The sequence below is a fragment of the Homo sapiens genome, chromosome 2, assembly GCF_000001405.40.
Source record: "Homo sapiens chromosome 2, GRCh38.p14 Primary Assembly".
Taxonomy (NCBI): domain Eukaryota; kingdom Metazoa; phylum Chordata; class Mammalia; order Primates; family Hominidae; genus Homo; species Homo sapiens.
In genome coordinates, this window is record NC_000002.12 from 143,194,454 (window position 1) to 143,217,783 (window position 23,330).

Consider the following 23,330-nt stretch of genomic DNA (forward strand, 5'->3'; position numbering starts at 1 on the left):
AATACCATTAGTAACATTATGAGTAGAATAAAATGTTTATATGTCTATTTTGGCCCTGAGTTTCTCATTATATCAATTTAGAAATTCATGGCTAAAAAATACGTGATTCTACAGAGAAAAACCAAGAAAATTATATTACTTAGGCATCTCTGAGTTTCTTGGCTCTGGTGGTTCTTATCTTAAAAGCCGATTTGAAGGCTAAAAATTGTGGTATGTCCAGGTTCCATGTGAATGACCCCTCTCTGTCTGAGAAAACAGAGAGAAACGATCTAGCGAAAATATACAAAAAACATAGGGGAAAGCTAAAGGGAATGGTATTCAGCAATAAGCAAGAAAATGTGTGTATTATCTATAACTAATTTTTATTTAAATAGTAAGGTCATGACGCAGTTTGATTTTCTTTGTGGAACACATGTGTTTGGGACTAAATAAAGCAGAGAAAGAATATTAAGGAGTTAGAATCATTTTAGCAAACGCTTCCCTTTGGCTATCTGGGATATAGGAAAATGTGGTTGAAGCTGAGTTAAAGTCAGCTAGACTTGTGCCAGGAGCGAGAGGCTGGTGGGCACTGCAGGTGATGCAGATGTTTATAAAAAAAAATCCACACTTTTTTAAAAATCTGATAAACTTTTATTTGTCCTCAAGAAGGTTTTTGAATCATTTCCTTTCATTTTGTGCCAGGGATAAAAAAGAAAATAAGAGTGTCAGATTTCTGACTGACAATAATAAACAATCAAAAGAGGCTTAGGGAAGAGCCCCCCTCCCAAAAAAAAAAGAGAGAATATTTGCTTCTGAATGTCCACTATGGCAATTGAATGATATTGTGGGCAGATGGAGGAAAGTGGAATTGTGAAACAATTTACTTATCATACACTAATAAGGAACAAAACAGAAAAATTGCATCTTTCTTTCGTTTATGACATTGGCTCCCACTAGGATTATGAAAAGATGCATTTAGGTAGTGTTAGAATAATTGTGGGACATGGATAAATTTTACATGTGTCCACAAATAGTTAAAATTAGAAGATTAACTGTAAAGAAAAAAAAAGCTTCACTAACTTTCCTTAATTCCTGATTGTAATAGCTTTAAGAAATAGAATTTGGCAAAACAAATGAAGATTTGAATGTAAGAATTGGGATACACCAAAAAAACTTTTAAGAGACTGTAGAGATAAAAACTAAACTTAACCACAGATTTATTGCTGCTTTTCATCCAAGTATCCAGGGACGTTGCTAATGGGAGGTACGCCTCAGAAACGTACATGTCTGTGAAAATGTTGGAACAAACTAATGCTTTTCTTCAAGTGATTTTATTTCAATTCTAAGCCACAAGATATAAACTTTCATCAAAAATGGGAATCTATTTAAAAGCAGAGCTATGAGGAATGTTTCATGTTTATGTATAACTTTCATAGTAGACCCTCCTACACACGGAAAATAATATGCCCAAATTCTGTTATTTTTACAGTATGTAATATATCACATACTAATCCCACCCATCAGTTTCATATCCTTTAAATAGATAAAAATGAAAAAGGGATGGAAGAAAAAATGAAGACACTTTGAAAAACTGACTTTTTAATTCCTCTTTTTGGAGAAAAAGATATCTGAAAAACTTAATTATGATCCATATCCTAATAAGAACAAAGAGGAATTTGAAGGAAAATACGCATTATATATTCAGAATACTATCTTTTTTCATTTCGCTTTGCACAATTAGAAAGCTAAGTACCTGGGGAGGGGAAGAACAGAAGTAGAAAGGGAGAGAGTGGTGGGTGGTGATAAATAAGGAAAAACACAGATTTTCAGTAATACTAGGTTCAAAATAATCCAAGTCAGAAGAATTTTATATTTCAAGTTTTTTCAATGGTAGTTACAAATCATTCCTATTTGCAGGACGTGATAATTCAATAGGAAATAGTGCCATTGAAAACAAGATTGCCCACACGCAGTAAAAAGATAAGGTTGGACTCTTTTTTTCTCCCCAAAAGAAGGGTTACCATCAGTTCAAATATTTATCAGGAAAACTCAGTTGCTTAATATGCAGAATATTGTAATAAAAATAATTTAAGACATAATTATGCCACCTTGAATGAAACTCTTAATAAACAGATCAGAGAAACAGAATTGTCAGGGCCCCTTTTCTTTTTCTAAAATATTGCAAGTAAATTAAGAGTAGGAATTCACAAAATTTTTCAAGTGGGAATTTTAGCATGATATTGAAACCAACATTCCATCATTTATAAATATAAGAACTAGCAAAATAAATGAGGCTGTGAACATTTAATTATGCAATAGACATATATACATGTTCTATTCTGTTTAGAGGGGGGACCTATATACTATATAAAAACATTTGGAAACAAAATAAAAGAGACATGCATAAACATAATACATTAAAGCTTCTCAGAAGCTTTACAGAAATGCTTCTGTTTTTAAGAGAAAATAATTTATTGAAATAAAGTTGTATCAAGCTACTGCTAATATTATTCTTCTATTCAAGTTTTCAAAATTCAATAATTAATGAACAATTCTAGCAAAAGCAAAAAGGATTGAAGATCAAATGTTGGAACCCTCCTTTGTCAGCATTCTGAAACTTAATCTAAGCAACTTGAAGAATAAAATGTAGGGTTTTTATATCAGATACATTTTAAAAGTTCTGAGATTGTTGAGGAAGAATTTAAACTACTGTTTAAAATGAAATTCTCTCTGCAATACTGGTAGTAGAGATTTTATAACACAAACAAACAAGTATATTTTGATCACTTACTATTAGAAATTACTGACATATGGATGTACTAAATGTGAAATGTTTTCTGGGTATAAATAAATGGTTCATAAGGACATCTAATGTTTTAAGCTGGAATATTTGTCAAGAGCATGTCCCATAATAATTTGTAAAATTGTCAGATAATAATAATAAGCTATTAATCGATATCTATATAAGTACTATAACATTTTCTGTTATTTATACTATGGCTTAGGAGAGACTTTTTTCCCTTCAAACTTACTTGATAAGATTTTGGTTGACCCAAGTTTTCTTTATAATTATTATTTCAATTAAGTATATTATGTAAAAACAACCTGAAATATTCTAATTTTTGCTGATATCCATGCAAAACAATTAAGCCATTTTGGATCCAGAATTTCCTAAGTCATAAGTCTCAGTCAACATAATCTGATTTGGAGTGATCACATATTTCTTTGTCTAATGCTTTACTGAGAACAACATTAAAGCAAAAGACAGGTGATGAAAGCTCTCTTTTTTCAACATCTTCATAACCTGGTTGAAAATGATAGATTGGCTAGTTTATTGATTTAGGAATGATCAGCAATATTACTTCCCCTAAAGGAGTATTAAGATGATTCACAACAAATTTGAACCTGATTTCTAGCATCCTGTATAAATGTGTACAAATTCATAAGTCTGACTCTAAATTCTACCTTAGAAATATCTTTTTATGCACGTGGAGGCTCTCAACTTTGTAGTTCCCCAAGAATGTAGTGACTGCCTACACACACACACACACACACACACACATACACTTATATTGCTGGAGAAACAATAAAGTGTCATAGTTGAGCTTATTCCTAGATCTAGGTTAAAATACTACCTATGCCTTTCATTAGCTATGGATTTTCAAAGTTACTTAAACTGTGTTTACACTTCGATACTTATAAAAATGGTTAATATTATTAACCTTTTAAGGTTTGGGTGAGAATTAAACATGCTAATAAATGAAAAACATAGAGAACCATGCCTGGCAGATAATAAGTACTCAATATATGTTAGCATACAATATTATCTTTGTATAAATTTCTCAATTTGCATTCTTATTTGTACCATGGACTCAATGGGCCCCTTTAAGGGTGAAATAAGTATGTGCCCAGTTTCTATTTTGAGTCTTCTTATTTAGATTTGTTTCCCAAACTTCAATCATTCACTTGCTATGTTTGTGAGTTTTTTCCATATTTCATACCATAAATTACTTATTTAATTATATTATTTAAACTTAAATAGCTTTATTTTAAAATAAAATATATTCATACCACTAGTAAATGGTTTTGGTGTGATACATTTTTCTATGAAACCTTAGGATTTTATAAATCATTACAATGAAAACACTCATCAGCTAAAATAATCTCTTATGCTCCTAATAATATGTACACCACACATTTCCAAACACTGCTTTAAATAAAAGCTTTCTATAGGTGATTGGAAAGGAATATTAAGAGGCAAGTGGGTCTGTATGCCCATAAGAATTTAGTAGTGGTCAGATGAAAGAGGGCATGGAGCTAGCCATAGAAGAAATGGTGCAACTGACATAGTTAAAGGCCAAGTGCCCACTCATCAATATTGTGGAGACATTTACTTGCTACTTCTCTAACACTTAAGACTTGAGTTTCTTTACTTTCCAGGAGAATTACTTTTGTCCTAAGAATGGGAATCTAGTTGGGTTTTAAGGAAATAGAACAGGAAAACTCCTTCCATCTTGGAACTCTTCCACTCTTGAAAGTTAAATATAAGACGTATGTATGAAATTTTCAGTGGAGAGTATAAATCTTAGTATAATGAGTAGTAATTAAGAGTAGTACATTCTAAATGTATAGCAAGATAAAATAAATTTCTGTTTTTAAAGAGGTTTAGATACCAAATGCATATATTCTTTCACTCCTGAGAAGAAGCTGAAGTATCAGTGGATAATTAATAAGTGTGAATTTTGGGTTTCTACGATCACTCCCATTAACTAAGTATTCTGCCCTCAGTTTCCTCATGCATAGACCTTTCATTTAGACGTTAATTGAGCATCAACTATGGGTAACATATTTAAGGTAATGCTAGCAGCTGTAAAATCCTCTAAAATAGATGATGGTTCCAAAAAATAGAAGCTTATTTCTCACTTATGTAACAGTTAGATGGAAGTTTTCTTCAGGAACTCCCTCTGCAACTTTTCTCTTAAGTATAAAATTATTCCACAATAAAAATTTAGCAAAGAAAACAAAGTGAGCTTTACTGGCCTATGTATGGTTTCCCCACATGGTGATTCAGCGCCCAAACTCCTTCCATCTTGCAACTTCATCCCTCCGTAGGGCCTTGTTCATTGTTTTCCCAGCCAGGGTGTAAGGAAAGAGAGGACATGGAGGGGAAACACTCCCTGGTTAATAGCCTTAGCCAGGGAGTGGCTGGCATTGTTTCTGCTCACATCCCTTGATCTGAACTAGTCACATGGCCACTCCTAACTGCAAGGTAGGCTGAGAAATGTAGCATCTAGAAAAGAGGATACAATTTTGGTGAACGGCCATACCCTTCACCATATAGCCGTTTACACCATCCATCCACCTCCCCAATGGACACAGCCTAAAGTTCCATCCAGTTACAGCATCAAGCTCAAATTTCAGAATCTCTGGTGATAAACAGCTCTCTCCATAAAGCTCAGGTTTTACGGGAGGGGTGGGGAGACAGCCCAGGTAAGTGATTTAGAGCTTGAGATATAAGCTCTGTCCCACTTTCCCTACCACGTCCAATGGACAACAATGGAGCAAGAACTTGGTACCTGGGAAAAACAAACAAAAACCTTTCTCATTTGTCAAAGGAAAAATAGGTAAACAGCCAACAGTCACTGGACCAAAACAATAATTGAATCCTGCTGGCCAGTCTCTGTGAGACAACTTCCCTCAAAGTCAAGACAGTCCCCGGCTCTCCTTTCTGAAATTCCCCATGGCCACTGTTCTCCAGGGTTTCTGGCCCTGCTTTCTGGAGTCTGTTCCTTCTCAATTATCTTCCATAGGACACCTGTGAAGCGAACATTGGGGAAAATTATCTCCTTGGATTTTTACTTTCTTCATAACCCAGTTTTCCTAGAGCAAATGTGGGGTTCCAGGTTGTATAGAGTCGTGGAATTTTTTAGGCCAGGATTCTGATTTTTTTTTTTTTTGGTAGAACAATTCTCTCAAAATCTTCACAGACATTGATCTAATTCCTTCAGTCAGTTGTATGTGCCAGTAACCAGAACCAAAAACAATAAAGTCCTTTCCTAGACATAGTACTCAGGTCTGCTTTATTTCTTTAATTTCTTACACTTATCTCTCTTTCTCTCTCTTTCTCTCTCTCTCTCATCCTCCTCATGCCCCTTCTTCCCTCCTTCTTTCTCTCCAAGTAAATATGAAACAATATTAATGGGAGTTTCTGTTTAAATTACAAAACAGTGTAAGATTTTATTATAAATTCTCTTTCTCTTTATGTTTTATTGTAGAATCTGTCTATTATGCTTCTTCAGGAAAAAGAACATTAAGATTTATTTTAATTTGTTCTAAAAGTACATAAGAAAGTGTGATTTTTGAGTATTTAAGCACATCTGGTTACTAATAGAAGACAAGAGACTTAATAGAATGTTGATCCTGTAAAAGCTGAGCTCACATCATCAACAAAAAAAAATTTCAATATGAAATATTTTGTCCTAGTAACAAATCACCTTGAAACATAGAGGTGTGAAACAATGTTTTTGTCATGCTTAGAGTATGTCCAAAAATTTAGATGAAGCACAACAGGAATAGCTTGTTTCTACCCCACGATATATTTGAGTTCTCTTCTGGGACGTTTGAAGTTTAGGGGAAACTCAATGGCCAAAAGGCAATCATCGGGAGTTCTTTTTTTTTAATTTTTATTTTTTTTTAGAGTGGGGTCTCACTCTGTTGCCCAGGCTGGAGTGCAGTTGTGTGATCATAGCTTACTGCAGCCTCAAAATCCTGGCTCAAGTGATTCTCCCACTTGAGCCTCTGGGGTAGCTGGGGACTGACTGACTATAGGTGTGTGCCACCATGCCTAGCTAATTAAAAAAAAATTTTTTTTGTAGAGTTGGAGTCTCACTATGTTGCCCAGGCTAGGGCTCTTTTTAAATTTAATGTTCCATTTTTAATTATTAGGGGTACATAATGGGCATATATATGTACGGGGTAGTGTGATGTTTTAACACACGTCTACAATGTATAATAATCAAATCAGGGTAATTGGGGTATTCACTAACCCGAGCATTTATCATTTCTTATTTCACGTGTTCTCACTCATTTGGGGGCGCTGTAAAACAATTGATCTCATAGAGATAGGGAATAGAATGATGATTACCAGAGCCTGGGAAGGATAGAGGACTTCTTTATACTCACAAGCTTGGTGGTTGATGCTGGCTGTCTGCTGGAACCTCAGCCTTTCTATCAATCGGAAACCTATAAGGCTTTCCTTGTGCTTACTCTGTGGGTGTGATTTGGGTTTCCTCCAACATATTTTCCAAGAGTGAAGGTTCTCAGAGGACACAGGAGAATGTATGACATTTTTGTGTTCCAATCTTTGAAGTCATAGAGTGGAACTTCTGCTGTACTTTTTTATTGAAGCAGGCATAAGGTCTGCCCAGGTTCACATGAGAGAACACAGACTTCAACATTTGAAGAAAGGGGTGTCAAGGTTACATGGTAAGAAGAGAATTGGGTTTGAGATATGCTTGCAGCCAGCCATCTTTGAGTACGTATTTTATTTAAATTAGTCAATGTCCAAAACATTTACTTCTCATTTTATATCTACTTAATTCACATGCTTGAATAACACTGAATTGGTTATTTTATGTGTATTCTTACTAAACTCTATCAAGAAAAATTATGTAATAATATCCAATGTCAATATATTTGCAGATATCCAGACACAGAAGGAATCATTCACAGCATATCTTGAAAGATGTCATTCCTCCATTGGAACAACTGGTGAGTGTTTAAGTCATTATATTCTTCATCTACTGATACAAAATAAATTGCCACAAAACTCAGCAACTTAGAACAGCTTAAGTTATTATCTCATTTTTCTGTGGGTCAGGAATCAGGGCACCACTTAGTAGAGGGATCTAGCTTGGAGTCTCTCAAAACGTTGCAACAAAAGCATCAGCCAGAATTGGGATCTCATTTGAAGGCTTGACTGGGGAAGGTCTGCTTTCAAGCTCACTTATGTGGTTGTTGGCTGGGTTCAGTTCTTCCAGGAATGTTGGCCAAAGGCTGCCCTTATTTCCTTGCCACAAAGATTTCTCCAAAATAACAGCTTGCTTTTTCAAAGCATCCAAGATGAGAAGGCAAGAGGGAGAGTTTGCTAGCAAGATGGAAGTCAAAAATCTCTTGTAACCTAATTGTAAAAGCAATACGCCATCAGCTTTGCCACATTCTTTTGGTTAAAATTAAGTCATTAAGTCTAGTTCACACAAGGGGAGAGGATTACATAAGGATGTGAATAATAGGAACCAGAGACTACAGAGGGCTTATTGTAAATGTTGATAGTTTTTTTTGTTATTGTTGTTGTTGTCTTCAAAAAAAAATTAATCGACTCAACATCCGTAAGAATGGCACTTTTTTCCATGTTTTTGTGTATTGTTATATCCTAGTGACAAAAAGAGTACCTGAAATATTGTAAATAACATGAATGAATAAAGTATTATATATATCTTAAAAACACGTAAGACCAACCTTTCTGATATGTTCTGATACTTCTTTCTTTTAATGACCTCTTTTTTGATAAATACAATGTGCTTTTCCTCTATGCTCATTCAACTTGTCTTTCCTGCTATATTTCATATTGGTCAATATGCTTCCAGTCTTATTGGCTTACAGGATATTGCACTATGATTACTGCATTCCTGTCTATCTCTAGCTATTTCATCCCTGTTATCTTTGGGATGTCCCATCCTTAGCACCAACAATAATTTCTTTTTTTGCTTCAGTGTTCCTGTTTTCTATTGCTTTTCATGTTCCAGATCCCACATCCCCACTCCAGCTATTTCTCCTTACTCTGCTTTACTTTAGGATAAGAATTTCTCCAAATAATTGTCTACCTTTGCTGTTTCCAATTTCTGCCCTCCCTTTGTCTCTTGAACTAACTCTGTTTAGGCTTTTATCTCAATCATTCACCTCTTATCCAGGTCACTGATTGCCTCCATGTTGTTAAATCCATCAGTAACTTCTCAGTTGTCTCTTCAGTAGGTCTATCTGAGCATTTAACCCAATTGATAGCTCTCTTCTTGAATCAATTGCCTAGTGGGTACAATGCTCACTGTTTGGGTAGTGGGTACACTAGAAGCCCAACAACCACCAGTATGCAGTATATCCATGTAACAAATAAGCACATATATCCCCTGAATCTAAATTTTTTATTAAAAAGAAACATTTTCCTCACATGACTACCAGTAACCACTTTCTCATGGCTCTCCAATTAGCTGGAGAGCCACCTCTTTTCAACCCCCTTTACTGGTCCCTCTTCATTTTGGAGCTCAGTTTTTATTTTTTATTTTTTCTGTCTGTAGGAATTTCCTAGGGCATCTCATTCAGTGTTGTAGCTTTAGACCATGTAACACTAGCCAGTTCTAAATTTCTATTTCCAGCATGGACCACAGCTTTGAACTTCAGTACTATAAATTCTGGCATTTTTACACACAGTTCTAATATACATCCTAAACTTAGCATATCTGAAACTGATCCCGATTTTTGCCCAAACCCGTTCTCCATTTCACAAGTCTTCTCCATTTCACAAGATGGAGAAGCACCTCCAGGTGCTTCAGTCAAAACACTAAAAGTCATCTTCCCTTGTTTCAGTCGTAACATAAATGAACACCAAAGAACCCAGTTTGCTCTGTCTTCAAAATATACCCAGAATCAGTTCATTTCTCACCACCATTACTATCATCTGTCACCCAGTTTATTGAAATAGTCTCCCTGTTTACCCACTTTCGCTTTCTACTGTTTATTTTCAACACAACAGTGGGAGTGATCCTGTTAAAATGTAAATTAGATTTTGTTTCTTATCTTAGTCAGTCTGTTACTACAACAGATACCACAAACAAGGCGGCTTTTAAACAACAGAAATTTATTTCTCATAGGTCTAGAGGCTGGAAGTCCAAGATCAGCATTCCATTCTGGTCAGGATCTGGTGAGGGCCCTCTTCTGGGTTGCAAACAGCTGACTTCTCCTTGTATCCTCACACGGCAAAAAGAGGGCAAGAGAACTGGGGTCCCTTTTAAAAAGGCATTAATCCTATTCATGAGAGCTCCACCTTTATGACCTAATTACCTCCTAGTAACATTACATTGGAGTTTAGGATTTCAACATATGAGTTTTAAGGGGAAACAAACATTCGGTCCATCTCACATCACTCCTTGACTCAAAATCCTCCCTGGCTTTTAGTCTACCCCAGGTAAATGCTAAGAAACATCCAATGGTTCACTAGGCCCTAGAAGACTCATCGACTTCCCCAGTCTCACCTCTCCCTTTCTTCTCCTGTCTCCTTCTGCTCCAATGAAGCTGATACCTCTTCCTCTGCCCGGCCATCCCACCTGCTTTTGCCTCTATCTCTTACAAAATAATATATTTGGTGCCCAGAAATTTGGATATCTCATATGTTCCTCTGCTTTACATCTCTGCTCTAATATCACCTTTTTAAATAGGTCTTCCCTAATCTCTCTTAAAAAAAAAATGAAACAAAAACAAACAAACAAAACCCATAGTGGCCAGGTGTGGTGGCTCATGCCTGTAATCTCAGCACTTTGGGAGGCTGAGGAGGGGGCTCACTTTAGGTTGGGAGTTCAAGACCAGCCTGGCCAACATGGTAAAACCCCATCTTTACTAAAAATTAGTAAATTTTTAAAATTTTAAAATTACAAAATTAGCCACGTGTGGTGGCACTCATCTGTAGTCCCAGCTACTTGTTAGGCTGAGGCAGGAGAATCACTTGAACATTTGGGGTGGAGGTTGCAGTGAGCCAAGATTGTGCAGAGAGAGATAAAAAAAAAAAAAAAAAGAAACAGAAAGGAACCTACAAATGAACAAACAAGAAACCACACCATTTCCATGTACACTTCTGTTACCTTAATTTACTCTATAGACCTTACCACCAGATGGCATACTACAGCATTTATTTTTGTTAAGTTTGTCACTCCATTAGAATTTTAGTTCTATGAGGGCAAGGACACTGTCTCCTGTGTTCATTACTTCATTCCCATGACTACAATAATTGCTGGAACATGTTAGGGACTCAGTAAATATTTGTTGAATGAAGGCATAATGAAAATTTAATGGCTTTTGTTTTCACTTCCAAGCTTGTGATACACAGGTCTATGCTTGTAACCTTTCTCTCCTGTGAATTAGTCATTTGTTCTAGGATGTCATCTCTATCATCACAGAAATGAAATCCCTCAAGTTGAACCCTTCATCAGTGCCTTCTCAAACTGATTCCCTCTTTCCATTGAGCCCATCTCTATTAGTAGCAAACATATATCTAGGATGAGAACACATTTTCTTTATATTCTTTATTTTCTCCCTGGCCCTTTGGATAAGTCATCATTTTCTGATGAAACGTCTCAATGGTTGTGGTGCCCATATGCTTCTCCTTGTGCACCCCCAAACCCTCACCCAAGCCTTGAAATGCTTCTGACCTTATCATACCCTATCATCCCCCCCACTGATCCTAGGCAGCAATTCCAGAACAGCCTTCTTTCAATAGTACTTTCATTATTTCATTTTCAAATTTTCTACAGCATCATGGTCCCCAATTTACGTTATTTATTATCCTCTCTCAAACACATACCCTCAAGCCAGGAGTAGTAACATGATTAAGACATGGCTCTTACCCTGAAGGAGCTTGGATTTCCTGTAGCAATTACAGTCCTTTCATCCCAGCACATGTTCATGTGTTGTTTTGTGTTGCTCACTCTTATTTCATAGGTAATAGACTTGTTCCATGGCTGGATTGTAAATGTCTTGAAGTTAGAGGCCATGACTTGTATTTTCTTTATTATATCGTACTTCTACTTAGATTGCTTTTGGCACTAGTACTTGTTCAGGAAAGACATGCTTGTGAATTGATGTAATAAGAAATTAAAAGTTTATTAAAACAATGTTGCTAGTTGCAGACATTAATAAATATATGCCTAACATTTGTAGTGAAAGCCAATTTTTCAATATAATTAGATATACTAATATATTGTTTTCAAAATTAATTACGTGGATCTCAACTTAGCATTTTCTCTAGGAAGGATTTCTCTAATTCCTTAAATTTGAATTAGATAGCCCTTCTTTGATCTGTCTCTCAATAGCAGCTGGGTCTTGACTCTATTCCAGCCCCATCACACTAAAATTGCCTATTTCCTTTATTGCTCTTACTGAGCTATAAGCTATTTGAAGGGAGGACTATGTCTTATTTATTGTTTTACTATTAAAACTTCGTATAAAGGCTGGCACACTGTAGTTCTCCAATAAATAGGAAAATAAATGCTTTATTTGTTTGGTTTTATTTTAAATAAATTTGGATTACACAGAAAATAAAGTACAAAAATAATTATGAAGAGCTGGATTATTTTGTAAAAATAACACATAAAAAGTTTGCTCTGAAGTAGTCGATGAAACATGGCAAAAGTTAGGCTGAAAATGGAGCTCAGTAAATGTCTGTGTTTGTGTGTGTGTCTGTATGTTTATACATAAAATATATATGCACATATATTTTAACAGTGCCTAAAGGTGCCCCAAAGTTTTTTACATAAAAAATTATAATATATATAAAATCCAAATTATAGTTATTTAAAAAATTAATTTTTATATAATTTTTAATTGTGTATTTTCTATGCCACTATATCAAGCATAAGCTAATATCAGAAGAACCATTAGAATATTCAGAAATAGTTTTCAAAATTTACCTGCCTACTCTTAAGGCTATTTGTTGATTTACTTGCATATAGTAGGGTTTCTCTGCAGCCTCAGTTCTAAATAAATGAAACTCACTTTGAATATCACTAATTATAGATAATATAGTAATAGATAATAGATCTATTTGCCCAATACTCTATTTTAGCCCCAATGACCTTGGAAAAGTAACATCGAGAAGTCCTGCTAAACAGAAGCAAAAACAATAATTTTTAAGTTTTTTACCTTGCAATTTATCTCTTTTTTGCTGCATACCCGAATATTTTTCTGTTTTCTCTTTTTCCTTCCTTCTCTCCCTCTCCCATTGACACACACACACACATAAACACACACACACACACACACACACACACAGTGCCATGAGTTCTAAAAACTTTTGGAACTACCAATCAGCTTACTTCCTAGTCTTGACTTGGGTTTTCCTGGATCATCTCTCTGAACGCTTATCTTGCTGTGTCTTGTGAACATGGATAACATTCAACTTTTATCCATCAATCTCTACTTGAATTGAATTTCTTACTTACTGTTATTTTAAAGGCAGAAACATTATCTTCATCCCAAATTCTTATTTATGAATTATCTATATTGATGAACAATGCCCCAATAATCACCCATTCCCCCAGACAGAAAATCTGATTGATTATAGACCATTCATTATCGTTCACATTGACACTTGAATTATTTTTCAGAACCTATGAAGTTTTCTTTACATCTGATTAATCTAATGCTGTGTTCTTTTTACCAGGACTCACATACTCTTTCTGCACTCTGGTATGTTCCCTACTTTCATCTCTCCAACTCTCCTCACCTCCACCATGCCTTAGGGTGGCTTCCAGAGTCATCCAGGAGTCCTGGCAGTAGTTTCCTTGGCTGTACCTACCAGGATGAGCTATCATATATGAAATAATATACAGGAAAATACTTCTGAGAATTAATGACATTCTTTCCTTTGGAGTTATTATCCATCATCTCTACTGTATGGATCTTCAGGCTTATTTATTTCTAAAATGTTGGGATATATAAATCTCAATTCCTTTATATCTCATATTGAGATAACTCTACTGAACATTCTCCAGGAAACACGAGAGACATTGGCTTTTGGCCAAATTTATCAAAGTGTCCTATTAGGTCCACCATGTTGTAGGACAATTATTCACTTTATAAAATGAAATCTGCCATTTTGGATGCTCTCATAGAGGCTAACACCCTTTGGGAATCATGCTCCCTCTCTTAATGTTCCTTTTAAGAAAATAGATTGTAAACAGCATGGTTAAACAGAACAAAGCATTTATTTCTTTTGAATATTGGCCAAAATACATTCCTAATCTGAATCTAAAATTTCAGAGTGGAAACTACCCAGTTCACTGACAGATGATGTTATTTATGCCACATGTATGTAAATCCATAGGGTTTCGGTAGAAGAGACGGAAATCATTTCCTGAGAATCGGTGTGGTTGCTTAGAAAGTGCTATAATATCACAACAGTTTTGTACATGAATCATCAAATATATCAATATGCATTTGTTTCCTGATCTTGTATATTCTATATTATAACTGTTCATGAGACCTAATTATTTTCAGGGTACTTTTTCTTTTCCCCTTAAAGAAACATTCAAGAAAAAGAACCCTGTTTATAACATGTTAAATCTTTATCTTGTTTATTTTTATCAACAGAGTGTAAGACATGTCTATGGAAAACCCTGCAGGAGTCAAAAGCCTGTGGCAGGTTTTTACAGAATCATCTGCTACCTCCTGAGCTAGGAGGATTTTGAGGACAGAGCTCAGGAAGTTGCTATGGCTTGGGGGCAAAGCAGGCTTTTGCAGATAAACCTTAAGTCACAGATTCTACCTTTTAGAGCCAGATATCATTTTGTGGATTAATTAATAGTAGTGAGGGCTTTGAGCATGAAAGACATTGTGAGAATACAGTGTTTTCTTGTTTTAAAACGAAGGACATAGACTTTGGGGGAATAGTTCTATTGATCAAGCTGGGCTTTCCTTAAACTGCTGAAAAACTCTAAAAGCTCTTTAGTCTTTCAAAATTCTACCTGGGTAAGACAAAATTAGGTTTTCTGAAATATCCTTCCAGATCTTCAGGCTGTTAATAATAAGTTATGTAACAATAATAAGTTATATAATTTAATAATGCTAATAGAAACCATCTCTAAGTTTTCATTATTTCATGTGCCCTTCCTTTTCTCAAGTAAGAGCATGTATATTAATTCAAGTATTTGTTGAGGCCATCACTGTGCTAGGCTTGGAATATGTGATAATATGCTAACTGGCCATGTCCCTTTCTAGAGAAGCGTTCAGTCTAGGGATGAACAGAAGTGTTAAATAAAGGAAGGCATAATTCTATAAGTCCAAATTACAAAATGTGCTATGATAAAAAAAAAACAAGTTTCTGTGAGAACCTACACTGGATTAAGTAGTCACACATGGATTCTTTGAAATGGCCAGTTAACTTGAGATTTTGCAAGATTGATGGAGTTTGCCAAGCAAAGAACTGGAAGAAGAATGTTGAAGCAGAAAGAAACAAGTGCAAGGGTCGCCAGGTCAGAACAAAGTTGTTACATCTGAAAAACTGCAAAAATTCCACAGCAGCCAGAATATTATGAACAAGGGAAAAGAGTCACGGGTTTTGAGGAGAGAGAGGCAGTGCCCAGATTGCAAAGGGCCTTGAAGTGATGGTAAGAAGTTCAGAAGCCATTGAAACACAGAAACAAATGACAATACCTCTCCCATCCAGCTCCACATTTGAAATCCATTTAACTCTAGAGTAGAGAAAAAGAACACACAGAACAGCAACAATAAAGGCTATTAATATTGAGCAATCCTTTCTTCCCCACTGCCTAGACTGAAATTAAGTTATAACGCAGAAATTGAATTACACTAATAAGTTGCCCAGACAGTAACCAGGAAGGCCATTCTCATTGAAGTCCAGTGACAGGCAAAGAACGAGGAACATATTTACATCAAAGACACAAATAAATAGAATTCAGGGAAGAAGAGAAAGCAATGGTGGGTGGAAGTTGGGTGGTGCATGAGGGAGGGAGAGGTGAGCTATAGTAAAAGCCTCCAGAAGACTGAAGAAATTTCTTGAGATACAAAAAGGGTGCCTTCCTCAGCCTGTTTCCCAAACAGAACCTGGATTCCTTGGTGGTGACCAAATGAACACACCGGTTGCCAGATGAAAGGTTCAGAAAAAAAGTCGTATGGGGGTTCTTAAACATCAAATAATAACATTTTCAAAATGACATTTTGATGAGTTAGGGGTGAATAAATCAGAGACATACAGATAAAATTTCCCTTGAAATACACAGAGGTTTAACATGATGGGGAAAAGCACTTGGCAAAACATAATATGTGCTTTGCCAAACCTAATATTTGAAAAATGGTTTAAGACATTCAGCATAACCCCAAAGCTGGACATGTTGTCTTATCCTAAGTGAGAGAAAGTAAGGGAGGGAGGCTACCCATGAAAACATTGCTCAACAAACTTATTAAAGAATATAAATAAGTTGAAATGAGTAAACCATGCCTAAATCTGAAATCAAATTTCATGCTGAAATCAAACACGCTTATCAAGGACCTCTTTGAGAATTCTTGGTGACCTCTTTCTATCACCACTTATGTATGACCCAGAACCATTCTTTGCTTTTCTTCTACTCTTCTTCACATGCAATCATTGCATCCAACTTTAGATATTTGGTTTACCACTTCTTAAAAATGTGCACACACAGTAAATGATGTATTTACATCAGACAAAAACATCATACTGAATCTATGTCTAAAGGCATAATATTTCATTCTTGAGCTATATTTAAGGCAGTTCTAAAATTAAGACTTTTAAAAATGTTTAAAAACTATTAGTACTTTATATGATGTACAGATAAGCTGGAGTTTTAAGGTATTTTTTCTGTTTTTGATTCTGTTCTTAATGGATTATGTCCACAGTGAGTTCGCCGGTAATGAGCAAATCAAATATAGCATGAATAGCAGAGACAGTATGGGAATAAGTGAATATTGAGAAGAAAATGTAAGCAATGAGTTCCAAAGAGAAAGAGTGCAACCTAAAAACAAAGGCAAAATAAATAAATAAATAAAAGCAATAGAAAAAAGAAAGACAGATAAGGTAGATATTTCTATGAATAGTGGAGAAGTAAAAAATGGCGGGCGTGGGTGGGGGGCGGGAATTTAAGAAGGAAAGTGAAGCATCATTTGGGGGTAAAATAATGTAACCAAATGTGTCCTCATTCTGTGCTCTTTAATAGAAATCATTGAAACAGACAAGATTAACAGCAAAGTACTATGATCTATTAAAAGTTCAGAGAAAGTATAGCAGCTGCCTCGTTATTAAATAGGAAAATAATTAAATGCTAAATCTGCTTGATAATTATAGTGGCCCAGGGTTGTAGTTATAGAGAGATGATGCAGAGTTCTTTTAGAGAGAGGTCAGTCAGTCACACAGAAGGTTTCATAGGGTGATGCTACTTTAAAGGGATCATCTCAGTTTAGAGCTGGGGCCTGTCTCAGCATTGTGGATCCAGAAAACTCATATTTATCATCATTATTAGTGTTTACTGAGATGAAGATCCCTTGAGTCTATCTCACAGTACATAATAGGGAATATTCTGATACTATTTAAGTCACCCGCTTTCTACATCAAAGAACCTAGGAAGCTGAACTAGGATTCAGATGGCTGCCAATGAGCACATTATCAGAACAAAGGGGAAGAGAACAATAACTTAAATACATCAGCAGAGAAAACGTTATGAGGCATAAGGACCATGTGGTTCTGGTGTTAAAAGCCAAACCCTTCTCATCAAAATCTGGTAAAAGTTGCAGATTAAGTTTATTTCCATTTATAAACAGAAAGGGTTATTTTAACAGAACCCTTTGGTGGAATGGTGTAGATGAAAATCTATTATTTGCAATTGTATCTGAGAACAACATGAAGCCTTCTCATAAAAAAAAATGCAGTGTGTGTATGTACAGTTAACACACTAGTCTTTCTGCCATGATTGTTACCATTAATCAAAGGTTGTCTTCTGCTCCCCTGTCTTGTCTGTCGCCTCCAACGTAGGTTGATAAACAGGTGCTATCTGGGTATCCCACTGCCATTCATTCTTCTCATCTGTATCTCAGCATGGCTGTGTCTGCCGAGCACTTCCTCAGTGCTTGCAGACTGGCTGGCATCCAGTATGAACAAATTGCTGATCTTTCCAGCCATTTAATGTTAAATAGGGCTTCTAAGGAACATTGGACAAATAGCTCAAGAAGCCAGATTTAGCATCTAAAGATTGGTTGACATTTCTTAAGTATACTTAGTTCAGGGACTGCTACTTCTTTAAAGAACTTCAATTTGGCCTAGAATTTGGCAAGTAGTATCCTAAACTTAGACCTAGAGCTGTAAGTAATTTTGTAAATTACTGGAGACAAGACCATCTGAGCTCTAGATGACTAGCACGCTCAACTGGAATTTATAGATCATTGTCCCTTCAAACCATGGGATTAACATTGAGTAGGAATAATTATTAGAGAAACTAATAAGGTACCATATATAAACCCACATGCAAAATGCATAGCAATCTTTTGCTTGCCCTAATACTTCTTTCGGCACACTATGAGGCTCCCAGAATAACTGATTCCTGGTGTCTGAAACATGGTGACGTATTTCAAACTATCATGACAAAGAATAGTAAAGTAATTAATCCTACCTCGTGGAAACTTCACTTGCCAGCATGAGACCCTTTACAATGCAGTGCTTTCAGTGCAGAAAGCATAATTGGAATTTTCTACCCAGGCTAAAAGATGGCCTGAGTCTGTGAGATGACTTAAGCAGGGCATGGTATCCCGTCCCCCCAGAAAAGGAGCAGGAATATCTTGAATATGAACTCCCAGGAGTTTAAGCCTCAAGAGGATTACAATTGTCCTATTAATCTTTCCAGTTCTGTTGTAAGCAGAGAAGCTGGCATTTAGAGGAAAGAAGTGTTATTAATTAAAAATGTGTTGAAAAGAATGAATAAGTGTACATCAAGTATTAAAAAGACAATGAAAGGGCCGGGTGCGGTGGCTCATGCCTGTAATCCCAGCACTTTGGGAGGCCGAGGTGGGTGGATCACCTGAGGTCGAGAGTTCAAGACCAGCCTGACCAACATGGAGAAACACTGTCTCTATTAAAAATACAAAATTAGCTGGTCATGGTGGCACATGCCTGTAATCCCAGCTACTCGGGAGGCTGAGGCAGGAGAATCACTTTAACCCAGGAAGCAGAGATTGCGGTGAGCCGAGATTGCGCCATTGCACTCCAGCCCACGCAACAAAAGCAAAACTCCGTCTCAAAAATAAAATAAAATAAAGAAGATGAAGGAAAATAAACACCTGATCTCAGAAGTGAGAATGTGTGCACAGTGGTAGGACATAGATATACTACGTGTAGAAATCTGCATGTAAACATTTAACAAATATGCATGGTGGTAGCAAGTGTAGTAGGTAATAGAACATAGCAGAAGCGTTATTAGCTTCTTCTAATGACCTGGAAGGCAGCCTGACTTTGGAAAATGATATAAGAGAAGATAACTAACTTGCTATTCAGTCCGTCCTCATTTTTCCTGGGACCTCTGTATGATCATTCCTGAAAAGTCTATTGCATTGATCCAAGACCATGGAACTGGCTCAGCCACTGATGACAATGATGTCACATTTATTGAGTCTTAACTTGAGAAATCCAGCCCTTGGCATCAATCTCAAGTATTCTGGGAAAAGTCCTGCAGTGTCTGGGGAAATGTTACTTATGTATTCAAAGAAAGAGAATTCTATGATGTACACCTTAAACCTGTTTATGTTGATTTCTCCCTATAAGAGTATTAGCTTTTTCCTTTCACATTTCCTATCTCTTTTAGAAAAATTTTCATCAATAATTTATCTTTGTGGGTAGCAAATGTCTACCGAGGGATCTTTTGTGAATTTTTGGAAAAAACAATTGGGGCTATATTTTTAGCAGAGAACGCATGCATCAATTTTTATGATGGGTTGATAGGTTTTTGTAGTTTTTTTGGTAGATAAATCCAGGTTTTGGGTAACTGTTAATCAGAAGAAAACTTAAATAAAACAATAAATTTTTTCTACGGTTACACAACAAAATTTCTCAGTATACATTCCTAAAGAAAGGAACCTCCTTTGTGGTGGTAATTGCTATTGAAAACATCTTTCTTCCAAACATTTGTGGATACCAGTGATACACAGAGTTAAACACTAAATTTATTATATGGGTTTTACGAGGTAGAAAAATAAAATTCCTGGCACCAAGAAAAAGGGACAGTATACATAGAATAAAATGTGGAAAAAGCAAATGAATAGATGTATCCAAATACAAAACAAAAAGGCACCAGTGAATACCATGGTTCTCAAAATTATCCAAGAAATCTTCCTTAGATGCTGTAGAGTTGTGGAGAACATGGTGAAGTAAAAGAAACTTTCTGGATATGGAGATAAGTAAAAAACACTTTGCTATCATTTTCATAAGTCATCATTATTATTATCTCTATCATTATTTATTTAGTCAAAAATGTATTCATCAAATGCATTTTAAAACTAAGTCCCGTGCTATGTATTAGGAATAAAACAAGGCAGAAAAACTCTCACCTATATCAGAGCAGACATTTAACCAGTGAGATTTTAGTTATTTGGAACAACTCCTTTACCTCTAAATATCTCTTCCTTTCACTTGTAGTATTGAAGATAAATTTCTTGGCTTGCCCAGTTTACTATAAATATTTAAATAAACATTTAAATAGCCATTCATTTACTTATTTGTTCAAACAGTTTTATTATTTTGACTATTGGCACTACCAAAATATTCCAGAAGCTAGGAATCCAGGTGTGAAAGGTACAGTTTTTTGCCTTTGATGGACTCATAGCACATTATTTGCCTGCAGGCACAGATAAATAAAATGACATTTACAACATGATCTGATATGTGCTGTCACAGTGACAATGGCAAACTGAAAATGGAGATTCAGGATGGTGCACCTAAAAGAGATGGCAGAGAAATCATGGAAAGACCCTCTAATAAAAAGACGTGCACATTAAAATTTGGTTTTCTTCTTATTTTTTGAGATGGGGTTCTTGCTATTCTGCCCAGGCTGGTGTCAAACTCCTAGGACCAACAGATTCTCCCACCCCAACCTCCCACACAGCTGTGATTATAGACACTTGCCACCTCACTGGGTTTTACTAATTTAATTTTGAAGTAGATTAAATATACTTAAGACTTTTGTGAGATGAAGACATGGTCATGGTGGACTATTTCAGCTAGGGGGATAACATGGGATGGCACTGAGGGAGTGTGGTCCTCTGATACTAGGCAGCTCAGGGAGAAGGGTGTGGGCAATTCACTAAGAGTGAAAGATGAAGGCTAACGACTTGGGATGGGGCATGTGAGGCAGACACAGGAGGGTAGAAATAGGATGCTAAGAAATTAAAACACCTAGTACAGACTTTGCAGGGAGTCAACCCATCACAATTTGCATTGTGCATTTATTTTGCCAAAACCTCCGCAAACACTTCTGCGGAGTTATAATGACTTGTTGAATTTCCTTTAAGAAACTTGCAGCTCTATTAGAAATGAAAGCCAATACAGTATATGCAAATAGGAAAAGGAAGCAATCCTACATCATGGAAGAAGATAATGAGATACTGCTACTACAGGGTATCTTGGCAATTGACCAAAATATATGAAATGTTGCTATTTTAAATGCCCTTCCATGATTCAACTAGCTCAGTTACCTGGTCCCATTGAAGTCTTCCTTTATCCCGGCTTCGGAAGGTACATGGGGAGGCTTGAAAAGAAGAACTTTTCTAAGGATACTTGGTAAAATAAAGGAAGGCATTCAATTTGTCTTTCTTTTACCATTTGCAATCAATTTTTTAAACAAGTGACTTCAACGCCCAGAAAGAAAAGTCAATAAAGGTGTATCACTATCTAACAAATCATTCACATTCCTCTTCATAGTCTGTCTTTTAGATATTTAACAGCTTGTAATGACTATGATTTTGCAGGCACTTCCCATAAGCTATATATGCATTATTAATAAAGTTCTATGACTGAAAACTTCCGTCACTGCAATGACTCTTGAAAAGCATAGGTTTATTCAAATCAACAATGCATAGTAGTTTGTCACGGTTTTAACATATGCATTCTTCTTGCAGATGGTTGAAAAAGAAGGTTATCTGCAAAAAGCTAAAATTGCAGATGGAGGAAAGAAACTAAGGTAATAAAATTCTTTAATTCACTTTTATATAACTATGCTGGTTCTTCATATGCTAAACTTGTGCCACTGTTATTGTTTGGGATGCAAGTCCCTATGGTACCAGACTAGAACAGTCTCCTCTGCTACTGCTATGATCAACATTATTTTTAATGGAACTACAGTTTTTAAAGAAAGGCACTACATTCTATATTGTCGAACAGAACACATAAATGAGATGCTTTTTGTCCTCCTTGGACTTGAACTCATAAAACACTGAAAATAAATAAGACAATGGATTGTGATTTCTGTGATTGAAAGATTAGAGAATGAATGCATTCATCTGCAATACAGAAAAGTCTCTATACAATACCTTGTGAGAATAATTTCTTGAAGGATGGAAGATTTGAACCACTTTTGTAGCTCAAAATAGAAATTGATAAAATAAAAGTAACATCATATTCAGAGGTGAGAGAAATTTGAAAAGGGAATAAGAACCTTCAGAGAACAATAACAACAAAAATCTTGAAGAAAAAAAGTAAGGTTGATAGGACGGTAAAGAAAGATGATAATTGTGTGGTATATACCGTATGTTTAGAAATAATCACCTCCATTTTAGAATTTTTGCTATTTCTCGTATTGGTTCTGTTACATATTTAGCTTTGTGCTGGGTGATATGCAAGTTACCAAATTTGTAGAAAATGCTCAAGTTGAGAGACAAGGCATTTACTCTTAAATGTATTACTAACAATTAAAATTAATAGGATAAATGTACTAATTAGCTACACAATGGGACACATGTTAGTTGTATAATACAATTCATTACTAGAATGACACTCTGGGTCAACACCAGAGAATAAAGTCTGCTTTTGTTTGATGGTTATAATGAATTAATATATTTATTTAAACAAAGTAAAATTTGGAGGGGGGTGGAGAAATCATCCACAATTTCACTACTTAAAATAGCTATTTCAGTTGTAAATAACAAGCTCTATTTTCTCTCCATATTGTGTCTTATTCTGGGATAGTGAACAAGGCCTTAAATCTTTGCCTGGACTGTTTTTCTGGAGTGGCCCTGCAGCCACCTTCCCTTGAAGAGTTCAGGAGAGAGATGCACAGGAGACAAGATCAAATGCAAGGTTGCTTTAAGAGATGTGGCTAGTCCCTTCCCCAGTGGTGAATTGGGCTTAGAGAATTGGGTTCTGAAGGAACAACAGGAGGAAGTCTTTGAGTAGCCCAGCCCGAGTGCTCTCCTTTCCCCTAAACCTTATCATGACCTTATCAACTCAGGAAGGAGTGTGGAGGGTACAATGATGCCTCTCCCCAAGATGAGTAAGTCATGACCCTTTCTTCCCTCAGCAG

At 35.9% G+C, this 23,330-nt stretch overlaps 1 protein-coding gene across 9 annotated transcripts in view; it reads left to right on the forward strand.

Annotated features, from left to right (window-relative positions):
* ARHGAP15 (Rho GTPase activating protein 15) overlaps positions 1-23,330 on the forward strand; it is a 638,934-nt gene that overhangs the window by 65,035 nt on the left and 550,569 nt on the right. For all 9 annotated transcript variants that reach the window (XR_007078554.1, NM_018460.4, XM_017004500.3 and 6 more), the window contains 2 exons: positions 7,681-7,749; positions 21,931-21,992. Coding sequence is in view for 8 of the 9 variants with exons in the window: in NM_018460.4 (NP_060930.3) it covers positions 7,681-7,749; positions 21,931-21,992 (131 nt within the window). In the remaining variant the exon portion in view is untranslated. The remainder of the gene's footprint in view (positions 1-7,680; positions 7,750-21,930; positions 21,993-23,330) is intronic.